The following is a 12,828-nucleotide window of genomic DNA, read 5'->3' as shown; positions in this document are numbered from 1 at the left end:
TGAATTCACAGCCTGCACCCTAGCCACCGCGCTGTATAGAAGTCATGGCATATGTGGGTGCTGTTATGTCTTGATTATGGCTGGGCCACTGTCCCCACATTAGGAAGCAAAACAAAGCCACTCTGATCAACTGATTTAGACATTTGCAAGGTATTTTCTCCAAATTCTCTTTCCTTTTACCCTCATCTTTGAGTTTAAGACAAGGATAAGACTGATTTGCCTTTAGAGGTACAGAACAATAACAACAACAGCAAAAACAGGAAAGTAACCCACCACTCACAACTCTCCCTGTTGTCTGTCCTCTCTCTAATTTTATTTAAAATCATGAATGCAGTGGTTTCACATTTTTTAATCTTGGTTCTGCCACTTATCAACTGTATCTCTTGGACAAGTTACTGACTCTTTCCAAAACAGTTTTTTCATTTGTTTGTTTCCAATATGAATCCCAGGGCTTTTACCCCATTAGCCATCTCTCACCTCTCAACTAGAAATAAATTCCACCAAATCAATACTTTTTCACAATGTTCCCCAGTAGATTAAAACTATATTTGATTGATCAGTTGAAAAACAGCTCATATATTTATTCATAAAGGATTTGGTCATATTTTAATCATATAAAATCTAAACCTACAGTTTGGGTTTCTACTGTGATATTGGGTTCTTTTTAGAAAATTGATTCTGAGGAATGATATTAGGGTAGATTAACTTGTGAACAAATAGTTATCACAACAGGATATTTTTGAAGAGACCAATAATTATTTCATTAACTTTACTTATTGATCATATTTATAAAACTGTGGACTTCTGAAATACAATAAAGATACTGGTATTCTACTAGAAGTCTGAAGATATGAGAGATCTACTTTTTTTGTAATGTGAGAAATAGATATTGAATATGCCTTTCAAATTAGTTTTTGTATTTTATTTCCAGTTTGAATCTTTCTGTAACTTCCTTTAAGAAAATTGTCTACAGAGAGTATGAACCATATTTTAAGAAAGAAAAACCACAATCTACCATTTCAGGTAAGCCTGAAATATACTTTTTTAATTTTAAAGATAAATTTCTATGGGTAATTTGGCATTCACATGCATCTAAAATATCCATTTACTGAAAATTTATAGAAACGTGTGGTTTTTTTTTTAAGAAGTACTGGCTACATAATATGTGGGGCCCAGTGCAAAATGAAAATGTGAGTCCCCTTGTTCATATTATTGAAAATTTCACAGTGACTGCAAAGCATTAAACCAAGCCAGGGGCCCTTTGGGGCATGGGGCCCTGTGAAACTGCCCAGGTCACATACCCATGAAGCTGGCTCTGTTTTTAACCTTGATTAAAATAACTAAATAAAACTTATAAGTGTTTGAATTTTTATTCATTCATCTAAAAAACTGTTATTGAGTACCTGGTATGGGCTGGGCATTGAAATAGGCATTGTGGATGCAATAGTGGACAAGACAGTCTCATATCCTGGGTTCATGGAGATTATGGTCTAGTTTAATGAGCATAGATGTGCCTTCGCAAAATGATATTTTGCTTCCATTTGGCTCCCTAGATTCATTCAAAGGAACTATGTATGGCTGACTCTTTTGCATCTCTTTCCCGTCTATTCTTCTGTTTATTTAGTGTGATATATACAATAGCCATAATTTTTAAAGAAAATCTCTTATTTTTTCCTCATCTCTTCCTTTATCAAGAAGACTGGGTTGAATAGGGTTCTAATATCTTAACTATGATACCATATTCCGCAGGGATGATAGAGACCATCAAGGGAGAACTTCCTCCAGTTGAATCCCCTTGTCAGTAATTCACCTGTCCCTTTCCCCAATCAGATGAAGACCTGCTGTCTTTCCCAGAATCATCCTAGTCTGTCCTGCCTCTTCTGATCTCCTTTAATCTTCAATATTTAGTCAATGGGAGTCTTCCTTTCAGTTAAAAATCAACGACTAAACCAAAACCAAATCAAACCATGTCCAGTTAACTCCTATCTAGAAAAAGAAAAAAAAAAATCTCCCCTTGACCCTGCCTGCCTTTTCCTTTTCTCTCCTTTCCTTCACTACCAGTTTTCTGTATGAGAACTCTGTATCATTCTCTACATTTCTTCGCCTATATTCCTTCCCTAATCTGCTTTAGTATGAATAAGTCTACTAAAATTACTCTCACAAAAGGGCACCTAGGACTTGAGGTGCCAGAGCCTATGTTCTTTTACTACTAGACATTACTAGGACATTTAACACTCTTCCTTTCTGAAGCTCTCGCTTTACCTGTTTTTTCTAGTGCCACTTCCCCTTGGTTTTCTCAGACTTCTCTTACCACTCCTGCTCAGTATCCCCACCAGATATTCTTCCCCAGGGTTCGAATCTCACCCAAAACCAAGGCTTTCACTACTACCTACCCAGAAGCCACTTTCCCTCTGAAGCTACATTGACACCCCCTCAATACCAGCAGAATTAAATCTTCCCTCTTCTATACATCCCCAGTACCTTGAATTAATCCCTACCTTCTAAAGATATTAAGAGGATCAATTGAGTTAATAAGTACAAAGTATTTATAATGATGCTGACACATAATAGGCACTCAGTAGAAGTTAGCTACATTATTGTTATTGTTGCTGCTATTACTAATCATAACTTAGATCATATATATCATAGTATTATGGATATCTATATATCTATATTTCTCCACTCATTTATATAGTCTTCACATGTGTTCATTTATATATTTATTTAATTTTAAACAGATCTGCATTTAAATATTCTTTTATTTTTAAATAATTGTGTATTGAGGCCAGGCGTGGTGGCTCATGCACTTTGGGAGGCCAAGGCAGATGGATCACTTGAGGTCAGGAGTTCCAGACCAGCCTGGCCCACATGGTGAAACCCCGCCTCTACTGAAAATACAAAAATTAGTTGTGCATGATGGTACATGCCTGTAGTCCCAGCTACTCAGGAGGCTGAGACATGAGAATCACTTGAACCCAGGAGGTGGAGGCTGCAGTGAGCTGACATCGCATCACTTCACTCCAACCTGGGTGACAGAGCGAAACTCTATCTCAAAAAAAAAAAAACAACAACAACAACAACAAAAAAGTATATTGAGAACCTACTACATTCTAGGCTCTGGGATAAAGTGAATAAGACATGGACCTTGATTTCCAGGAGCCAATCAGCTATTGGGGATAACCTATGGATAGACAAGCAATGACAGTAGAGTAATAAGGAAGAACTATGATGAGGATTCTGTAGTAGGACATAGGAGACCTATCTCCAGTCTGGTGGTCAGGAAAGTATTTCTATTTCTAGATTGATAGCTGAAAAAAGAGTAGGATCTTGGAAAGCCAAGTGGGGAGGCAAGGGGTTGGGTGATAGATGCATTTTAAACCAAGGCACAGAATGTTTAAAAGTTTGGAGGTGAGAGTATGGTATATTTGTGGAACCATAACTGGATCAGCACAGTTGGACCACAAACTTCAGGGAAGGAATTAACAAGAGATGCAACTAGATGGGGATCAGGGATCCATGCTAGGCTTTATATTGAGAGGAATAGGGAGTCCCTAAAAGGATTTCAGCAGGAGAAATATTTGTCCTTTAGAAAGATTATGTTGTCCAATTATAGAGAATAGATTGGAGAAAGACCAGTCCAGAGCCAGAGAAAGTAGTCATGGGACTGTTGTATCAATCCAGATAGCAGAGAAGCTGAGATGGAGTCCAAAGATATTTAGGAGCTAAAGTTGATTAAACTTGGTGACTCATTAGATGCAGATAATGAGGAAGAAAAGGGAATTGTTATGGACTTCAAGGTGTCTGGTTTGAACAGCAGAATGGATAGGGTGCCATTCAGTGAGAAAGAAAATGTAAGAAAAGGAGATAGTTTGTGAGAGAAGGTGATAAGTATAGATTTGGAGTCTGAGGTGTGTATAGAATATCTACCTAGAGATGTTAAGTGAGCAGACGGGTGTAGAAGTTTGGCCCTCAAAAGAGAGATCTGAGCTAGCTGTCAACATTTGGGAGACATCAGAACAAAGATGGCAAATGAAGAATTTAGAGGGTGTGAACTCACCCAGGGAGGATGTGATGAGAAGAGAAGGCTGCAGACAGAGCTCAAAGTAGCAGCAAAGTCCAAGGGATGAGCCAAGAAAGAAAAGTTTACCAAGGAGCTTGAGAAAGCCTGTTCAGGGAGGGGAGAAGAAATCTAGAGAATGTGTTATCCTGGAGGCAAAGGGTCAAATGCTATTAATATAAGGGTCAAAATATGGTCCCTTTGTTATGGAATAGTGGGACAAGACCAGATGGCAGGGTGTTGAGGAGTGAATGGAAGGCGAGGAAACTGAAGCACAAGGGTCTTATAGATAACTCTTCCCTGAAACTTGGTTCCAGATGGGAGGAGAGACAGGGTAGTTTCGGGGGTGGGGGTGGGTACTGAGGAGCTTAAGGACATTTGAGAATTTTATAAAAAGGAATACAGAGACTTAAATATTTAAGGGAAGACTCTATAGAAATGCCATGAAGTCCTTTCCAATAGAAAATGTGGGGATAAAACATCTGAGAGAGAATGATTAATGGAGACTTAGAAGAAGCAGGAAGCATTGGGATTCAAACCTTGGGCTGGCTTGGCCTTAGGTAGAATGGCTACCACCTTCATGGGGGGCCAGGAAAGCAGAGGATAACGTTGCAAATAAAATTAAGTTTGTAGTTATGAGTAGGAAGTTGAAGGATGTCCTGTCCTATATCACAGAGTCTATTCATTTTCATAGCTCCAGCTCCAAGCTTAGCATGTACAATAGATACTTAAGAACTATTTAATTAAATTAAATTGTAGGTAGATGAAGGGAATATAAGGTGGGAAACATACTCATTAGGGCCAGGAAAAGAGGATTGGGGCCGGTATTTGAAGGTGTACCTTTTGTGGCTTTTGCCAAGCTAAGCAAATTTTAATCCCTTTGCTGTGTGAGACATTGTGCTAAATGCCATAAGAGACGGAAAGGACTAATTCCAGGCTGAAGACTTTTAAACAATAAAAAGGCATGGATAGCTTTTGAAGAAAAGGGTTCTGTGATCAAAGTCCTTTCAGATGATTAAATTTTTTAGTGATTTCCTGATTTAACCTTGTTAGAGGTAGACTCTGACAGTTGGTGAGAACAGTCTCCAATTTATGTGTAAGGCCTTTGCACCTTTCTGTCAACCCCTGTGTATCTCAGAATATATTTGTTTCATGTGGACAAAGGTGTTTCGACGTCCATTTTAATGTAATCTCTTCCTGAATGTCCAAAGTTGCTTAACTATGAACTTATGAAGTGCAGGAGTGGTATCTTATTCACCTTTGTAACTCTATAGTAGTTGATACAAGGAGGCAAATCTGGCGTGAAGGAAAAGCCTTTTATTTTGACTGAGAAGATCTGGATTTGAACACTGCCATTAACTATGTGGCCTCTCCCATTCCCCAGACTAGTCCTGTGTTATTTGTACCTTTCCCCTATGTCCTGCTCCACTCATCTGCTGGGTGTGATTCTAGCTGAGCCCTGAAAAAGTCATGAGCCTCACTCCTGCAGCATGAACTATTGTTGTTGTTAGTTCTTGTAATTGTAGGGGGCTGGGCTGTAGGATTGGAGGTATGAAGATGCCCATCCAATAAGGTTTGTGGACATTTGGGCAGGTGAGGGAGTACAGCTGGGGTCATTTTTAGGAATTCTGTCTTGGGCTTTAAAATGGCTAGTCTTGGCTGGGCATAGTGGCTCATGACTGTAATCCCAGCACTTTGGGAGGCCAAGGTGGGAGGATTGCTTGAGGCCAGGAGTTTTAGACCAGCCTGGGCAATGTAGTGAGACTCTGTTTCTATTTAAAAAAATACATACATATATATATATATATATATATATATATATATATATATATATATTTAAATTAGCCAGACATGGTGGTACATACCTGTCATTTCAGCTACTGGGGAGGCTAAGGCAAGAGGGTCATTTAGGACAAGAGCATCACTTGAGCCCAGGAGTTGGAGGCTGCAGTGAGTTATGATCACACCACTGCACTCCAGCCTGGGTGACAAAATAAGACCTCATCTCTAAATAAATAAATAATTAATTAAATTGGCTAGTTTTGAGTCTGCATATTTTTCAGGGACAAATTATAAAATGTTTGTCCCTGAAGGAGTTTTGAAATAGCTGCAACAATCACTACCTTGTGTTATGTAATGCATTGTTCACCTAAGAGCAGGGGATTGGATTAGTTGACCTTCTGCAGTCCTTTCCAGTTCCACAACTGCACTAAATTGGGTACATGCTGTGCTGGCTTCCCCAAGCCCTGAAGTAGGCCACTCCTTTCCCCAATCCAGCTTTGGGCACTGAGGAGAGGGTTAGAAGGGTTTTAGGCCATCTGGCTGTTGGAGGAGCTAAAGAGCAGCTTGAAAACCATTTAGCCATGTGTTTTCCTACATGCGTGAAAGTATTTGGTATGCATTTATGAAAACATCCTTTTGTTTTGCCTTAAATCTGAAGAAGCAGGAGGGGAGGTTGAATAAATACTCCAAACTGTCCACTGAAGTAATAGGTCTTATTAGGTTAAATAACTTAGGAGACTTTCTCTGGGCATCTGGTATTTGCAGGCATGTGATGCCAACAAACAAATCAACCAAGCAAGAGAACCATGGCAACTAAATGCGGCACACAATTGGCAGCATAGTCAGCACCCTGTTGGGCTCATTGGCAGCTGGGGTAGGTGGGAATAGTCAGTGGAAACTTCCATCAGGAGCCAAGACAGAGGGTAGCAGCTGGAAGAGGGGGGTCAGTCAGTGGAGTCCGACATGTCAGGAGTCAAAAGAGGTGTAGACATCTGGACTATTCTATAAAGATGGGGGCCTGAGCCTGCCCCGTGGAAGGAATAGGGAGAGCTTTGGCTCAGGAGTCCAGAGATCTGAGTTCTGATCCCAGCAATGCTACCAGATCACTGACTGACCTTGGGCAAGTCACCTTTGTCCCCCGATTCCTACCTCCCAGGCTTTGTTAACTAAAATAAGGACTGAACTTTGTGACCTCCACAGTCCTGTGTAAAGCTAACATAAAAACAAACAAAAAGCTTCAGGCACAAGATCAGAATAAACTCCAGGAGTAGGAGTTCAAGGAAAGGAATAGGACAACCGTGGGTGGCAAGACAGGGGTAGGGAAAGATAGGACCTCTGTCCCAGAAATCAGAGTTTACCATTGCTTCTGTAACCAGTTACTGCAAACTTAGTGGCTAAAACAACACAAATTTATTCTTTTATGATTATATATCTGCAGATGAGAAGTCCAAAATGGGTTTTATTGGGCTAAAATCAAGGTGTTGGCAGAGCTGCATTCCTTCTGGAGGCTCTGGGGGAGAATTGTTTCCTTGTCTTTTCCAGTTACTGGAAGCTGCCTACACTCACGGGCTCATGGCCCCTTCCTCCATCTTCAAAACCAGCTGAGTAGCATCTTCCAAGCTCTTCCTAACTCAGATTCTCCTGCATCCCTCTGATAAGGACCTTTGTTATTACATGGGATCCACCTGGACAGCCCAGAAGAATCTCATCTCAAGATTCTTAATCATAGATACACAGTCCCTTTTGCCATATAAAGTAGCATATTTCCAGGTCCCAGAGATTAGGACGTGGACATCTCAGCAGGGGCACATTATTCTGCCTACTACACCCACCAAACAAAGCCCTCCCACGGTGTCCTCCATCTCAGAGAATGGCACCCTCCTCCACCCAGCTCCCCAAATCAGAACCTCATCAGCCATCCACAGCAACTGATGTCCTTTATTCTCTACCCCACATCCAATCCATCTTCAAGTTCCAACTATTTTATCTCATAAATACATCACTAATATATTCTCTCCTCATCATCTCATCATAATCTCAGTCACCACCATCTCTCCTGGAGTCTTCTATCTGTTCTCTCAATTGTTCTCTGCTCAGTCTCCTCCGAGATCATCCTCCACAAATACAGCCAGAGATTTTAAAACCAAAATCTGGTCCATGTTGCACCCCTGATGAAAACTCTTTAATGGCTTCCAGATACTCTTAGGCTAAAGGGAAAACTCTATGAGGCTTACAAAGCCCTGCATGATGGGACTCTGAGGATGCCTTCGGCTTCACCTTCTGCCCCTTCCTTTCACATACTAAGCTCCACCTCCCCACTGGATAACTGTCAGTTCTCTAAAAAGGCCACATTTTCTGGCACCTCAGGGCCTTTGCGCACGCTACTCTAACTTTTTAGAATGTCTTTGGCCATCCCTTTTCCTCTCTGCCTTTGGACCTCAGTTAAAGGATTAATTCCTCGGGAAGGGATTCCCCAACTCACCTCCAATTGGACTAGATTCCACTGTCAAATACTCTTCAGAGTATTCCCTCCTTTTCTGTCATAATATTTACCATAGGTTTAAATTGAATGTTTTTGTGATCATTTGTTTAAAATCTGTCTTTCCTACTATAAAAACGTATAAAGTTATAGAACTATAAAAATGTTTGACTTTTATAAACTCTATGAAGGCAGGGAGTGGGTGTATCTATTTTACTCTTTTACGCACCATTGCAATTCTGATGCCTAGGATAATATAGGCACTTGATATTCATTGAATAAATAAAGGAATGAATAAAGGAATGAATACAAGGTGGAGGTGTAGTATAAAGAAGTGGCTTAAAAGTCACGATCTAGAGACAGACATATTAAACTTTAAATCATGATGCTGTGTGATATTAGGCAAGATATTTAAACTCTCTGAGGCTCAGTGTCCTCACCTATAAAATGAGGATCTTAATATCTACCTTAAAAACTTGTGAGGATTAATGTAGGGACTTACAGTGCTTGAATGTATTAAGGGAAACAGTACAGGAAAGCCTTATTATGATTATCATCACCACTGCAAACAAATGCTGGCTGAACTCCATGAGTGCCGTGACTTCCTTCTCCTGCTTCTAGGACGCCTAATGGCGAGAAGCCAATCCCATGACACTTGTGGATGGCTCAGAAATGACAGTAGTTGATTTCTGTCACTTGTCTGGAATGGGGCTTTTGGTCATAGATTCTCAAGATTTCAAAGACATCAAGATCACCAAGGAGCACACGTTAAAGTCCAGATTCCCAAGTTTCACCTCCAGAACTCAGATTCATTGAGGCTGAGGTGATATTTGGAAATCTGCCTCTTATTAAGACCCTAGGTGATTCTGATGCAGAGACTCCAAGGACTACACTTTGGAAATTCTAGTACAGTCATCCCTTGGTATCCACAGGGTATTGGTTCCAGGACTACTCACAGATACCAAAATTTGCAGATGCTCAAGTCCCTTATATAAAATTTCATAGTATTTGCAATAACCTATGCACATCCTCTCATATACTTTAAATCATCTTTAAATTAGTTATAATACTGAATGCAATGTAAATACTATGTAAATTGCTATTATGTTAGAGTTTTATTTGTATTGTTTTTATTGTTTATTTTTTATTGTTGTTTTTTGAATATTTTTGATCCAAAATTGGTTGACTCCATGGATGTGTAACCATGAATATGAACCATGGTCATGGAGGGCTGACTATATACAATTCCTCAAATTCTGACTCAGCCATCAACTTTTTCCCTAACTCCCCAGACAGAATTTGTGCTTCATCCTCTCTTCTTCTGTAATATTTTGCCCATATCTCAGCAGTCGCTCCTATCATACATCTATCTCCAAACTAGCTTGTGAGTTCCTTCAGTACAGGGACTGTATTTGATCCAGGTAGCCAGAAACTTTCTAACACAGTGCCTGGCATGTAGAAAGTAAAACCTCATTCTTGATTTCTGCACCCATAACCTCCTGTCTCTGCTGTGTTCTCCCATTGCAGTAACTAATAACATCATTTACCCAGTTGTTCTGATAAAACACCTTGAGGTCATCCTTGACTTCTGTCTCTCACAAGCCACATGCAATCCATCAGCAAGTCTTGTTTGCCTTACCTACAAAAATGTCCAGACTCCAACCACTACTCATCACGTTCTGCTACATGTGCTGGCCCAGTACACTGCAGTCTCTTTCCTATACTGCCTAATCTCTCTGCTTCCATTCTTGTCCCTACACAGACTATTCTCTACACAGCAGCTATGATGAACTTTTTGTTTTAGGATGAACTTTTAATACACGTTATACTATGTCTCTGCTGTACAAAGTGGTTTTTCATTTTACTTAGAAATGCTCCATTTCACTTAGACGAGGCGTGGTGGCTCACACCTGTAATCCCAGCACTTTGGGAGGCTGAGGCGGGTGTATCACCTGAGGTCAGGAGTTTGAGACCAGCCTGGCCAACATGGTGAAAAGTCATCTCTACTAAAAATACAAAAATTAGCTGGGTGTGGTGGTGCATGCCTGCAATCCCAGCTACTTGGGAGGTTGAGGTAGGAGAATTGCTTGAACCCAGGAGGCGGAGGTTGCAGTGGGTCCTGAGATTGCATCACTGCACTCCAGCCTAGGAGACAGAGCGAGACTCCATCTCAAAAAAAAAAAGAAAAATGCTCCAGTGATGTCCCATTTCACTTAGAAGAAAATTCAAGTTCTTACCGTAGCCCATAGGGCCTCCCTTGTTCTACACACCTACCATCCACCTCATCTCTTCTTTCTTCCCGTACTGTTTTTCTTACTGTTCCTTAGATACATCAAGACTACTCCTGCCTCAGAGCCAGAGAGCTGTGTGATTTGGTTCCTCAATTCATCTAGGTCTCTGAGCACACCCATGTCAGAGAAATCTAAAGTAACTACCCTCTCGCATCACCCTCTGTAATTGAAATGAACATCTTTCTTAAGCAAAGAAAGTTATTGCTAAGGAATGACAGTGGGTCAAAGTGGGCAAGACTTGGCCAGAACTATTTCTCCTACTCTGTTGACTTCTTTTGGGTCCAGGACAAGTGTTTCTACCATTCTATTGTGATCTGTGTACATGTAATGTTGAGTTAATGAGCTGCTAAAACCTTCTAGATTGAAAATAAGTGAGTCAGCCTCAGGACCAGGAGGAATGGTAGCAATCACTCTTGGTATCATCTGTTTGTTTTTCTTGCTTAGCAACTCTGCCTTTGATGACCCTGAATACAGACATAGTTTAAATATTTGTTTTCACAGGACTTCTTGGGCCTACTTTATATGCTGAAGTCGGAGACATCATAAAAGTTCACTTTAAAAATAAGGCAGATAAGCCCTTGAGCATCCATCCTCAAGGAATTAGGTACAGTAAATTATCAGAAGGTAAGATAAATCTAATATTTTTCTGAAAAGGGAAAATGTCTAAGTCTTTAATACCAGCATCAACATTTAAAACTATACTGTTAACCACGTGTTGTTAGGGAAATCTCTTGCAACTGGTAATTATAAAAATTGTTGCTGTTGTAAGTTTTGAGAGAAGAAAAGGAAAAGGTTTTGGAGTCCTCTAGACCTGCATTTTTCACTGGGTTCTTACTCTTTAATGTTTGGGAGGGCAAGTTATCTAATTTCTCTGAATTCTCATATGTTCATCTTAAAATGGGAATAATAATACATACATTGAAAGATGGTTTAAGGCGGGGGTCAGTAAATTTTTCCGTAAAGGGCCAGATAGTAAGTTTGTTTGGCTTTGCAGGCCATAAGATCTCTGTTGCAAGTACTCAACTCTGCCTTTTAGTACAAAAGCAGCCATAGACGATACCTATTTTTTTGGCTTTGGTTACAGATGCCAGAACTAATTAACTTTGTTACCGTATTCTTTCCCTCAAGTCATACACCAGAGTAAGACCGCCTCTGACAATACAATTTTATTTACAAAAACAGGAAATTGGTTGGGTTTGGCCCATGAGCCACTGACATAGTGACATAGAACTAGCCTGATATAGGCTTCCTGGCACATAGATGACACTCAATAAGTGGTATTTGGTGGTGGTGAGACTAGAAGCATTAATAGTATTAGACTTTTGGACATAGTGAAGTGGTTAAGAAAGTAAGCTTTAAAGGCAGACAAGTTAAAATTCTAGCTTTATCATTTCTGATTCTACGACTTTAGCATCTCTGAGCCTCAGTTTTCTCATCTATAAAATGGAAATGATTATAACCACCCATAAGATTGCCTGAAATTTAAATGAAGTCACTTAGGTAGAGTACTAAACATGGTTCCTGGGATCGGATAAGCTCTCTATAAATAATGATGACAATGATGGCAATAATCATAAAGATAATAGTCATGCAAGTTATTGTATCAGCCGCTGAATAGTAAGTACCTGATGTTAATATGGTTCTAATTATCCCATTATGCTGATGTTCAGATCATTGTAAGCATAGTAGAGTTCCATCAGGCACTGGTATAAAAAATTGTATCCATATTATAATAGTTGTTGGTATGAGAACATTTTAAAATAATTTCAGACTTTTCATGGTTCACATTTAAATATCTTTCCTTCTACATGTTCCAGCCATCATACCTTTGAGAGAATAATTGAGTAGGAGAGTGGTTTATGTGCAGGTTTTAGAACTAGACTAATAAGTGCAAATCCTGGCTCAGTGACTTTTATGAAGTTATTTAACCTCTGTGTGCCTCATCTTTCTCATCTGTAAAATGGTAATAATAATCATGTCTCTGTCATACAGGTTTGTTGTCGTGAAATCTTAGAATAATGACTGGCATATAACAGATAATAAATATTAGCCATGATAGTAAAGATAATTCTTCAATTAAAATGTGTTCAAATAATTTAGTATTTATCTTAAAACTTGTTAGTTTCAGAAAAAATCAGAAAGTAATTTTTAAATTTATTGTTTTCTATATAAACTGTTGTCAAACTCATACCCACTAAGGTATAAGTGACTGATAATAG

The 12,828-nt window shown here is 39.6% G+C and overlaps 1 protein-coding gene across 1 annotated transcript in view, besides 2 other annotated features; it reads left to right on the top strand.

Moving 5' to 3' along the window:
• The window catches only part of F5 (coagulation factor V), a 74,531-nt gene that overhangs the window by 3,028 nt on the left and 58,675 nt on the right, over positions 1–12,828 (top strand). Inside the window, exons 2-3 of the mRNA NM_000130.5 lie at positions 932–1,023; positions 11,111–11,233. Coding sequence (NP_000121.2) covers positions 932–1,023; positions 11,111–11,233 — 215 coding nt within the window. The remainder of the gene's footprint in view (positions 1–931; positions 1,024–11,110; positions 11,234–12,828) is intronic.
• Positions 6,829–7,123: a silencer, noted in NCBI's record as "tiled region #2803; K562 Repressive non-DNase unmatched - State 22". NCBI's record gives its function as "weakly represses a minimal TATA promoter and a strong SV40 promoter by Sharpr-MPRA in K562 cells {active_cell/tissue: K562}" and the evidence as "EXISTENCE:reporter gene assay evidence [ECO:0000049][PMID:27701403]".
• Positions 6,829–7,123: an enhancer, noted in NCBI's record as "tiled region #2803; HepG2 Activating DNase matched - State 5:Enh". NCBI's record gives its function as "activates a minimal TATA promoter and a strong SV40 promoter by Sharpr-MPRA in HepG2 cells {active_cell/tissue: HepG2}" and the evidence as "EXISTENCE:reporter gene assay evidence [ECO:0000049][PMID:27701403]".

The sequence above is a fragment of the Homo sapiens genome, chromosome 1 (genome assembly GCF_000001405.40).
Source record: "Homo sapiens chromosome 1, GRCh38.p14 Primary Assembly".
NCBI classification, from domain to species: Eukaryota; Metazoa; Chordata; class Mammalia; order Primates; family Hominidae; genus Homo; species Homo sapiens.
This window is presented reverse-complemented; position numbering and strand designations above follow the sequence as displayed.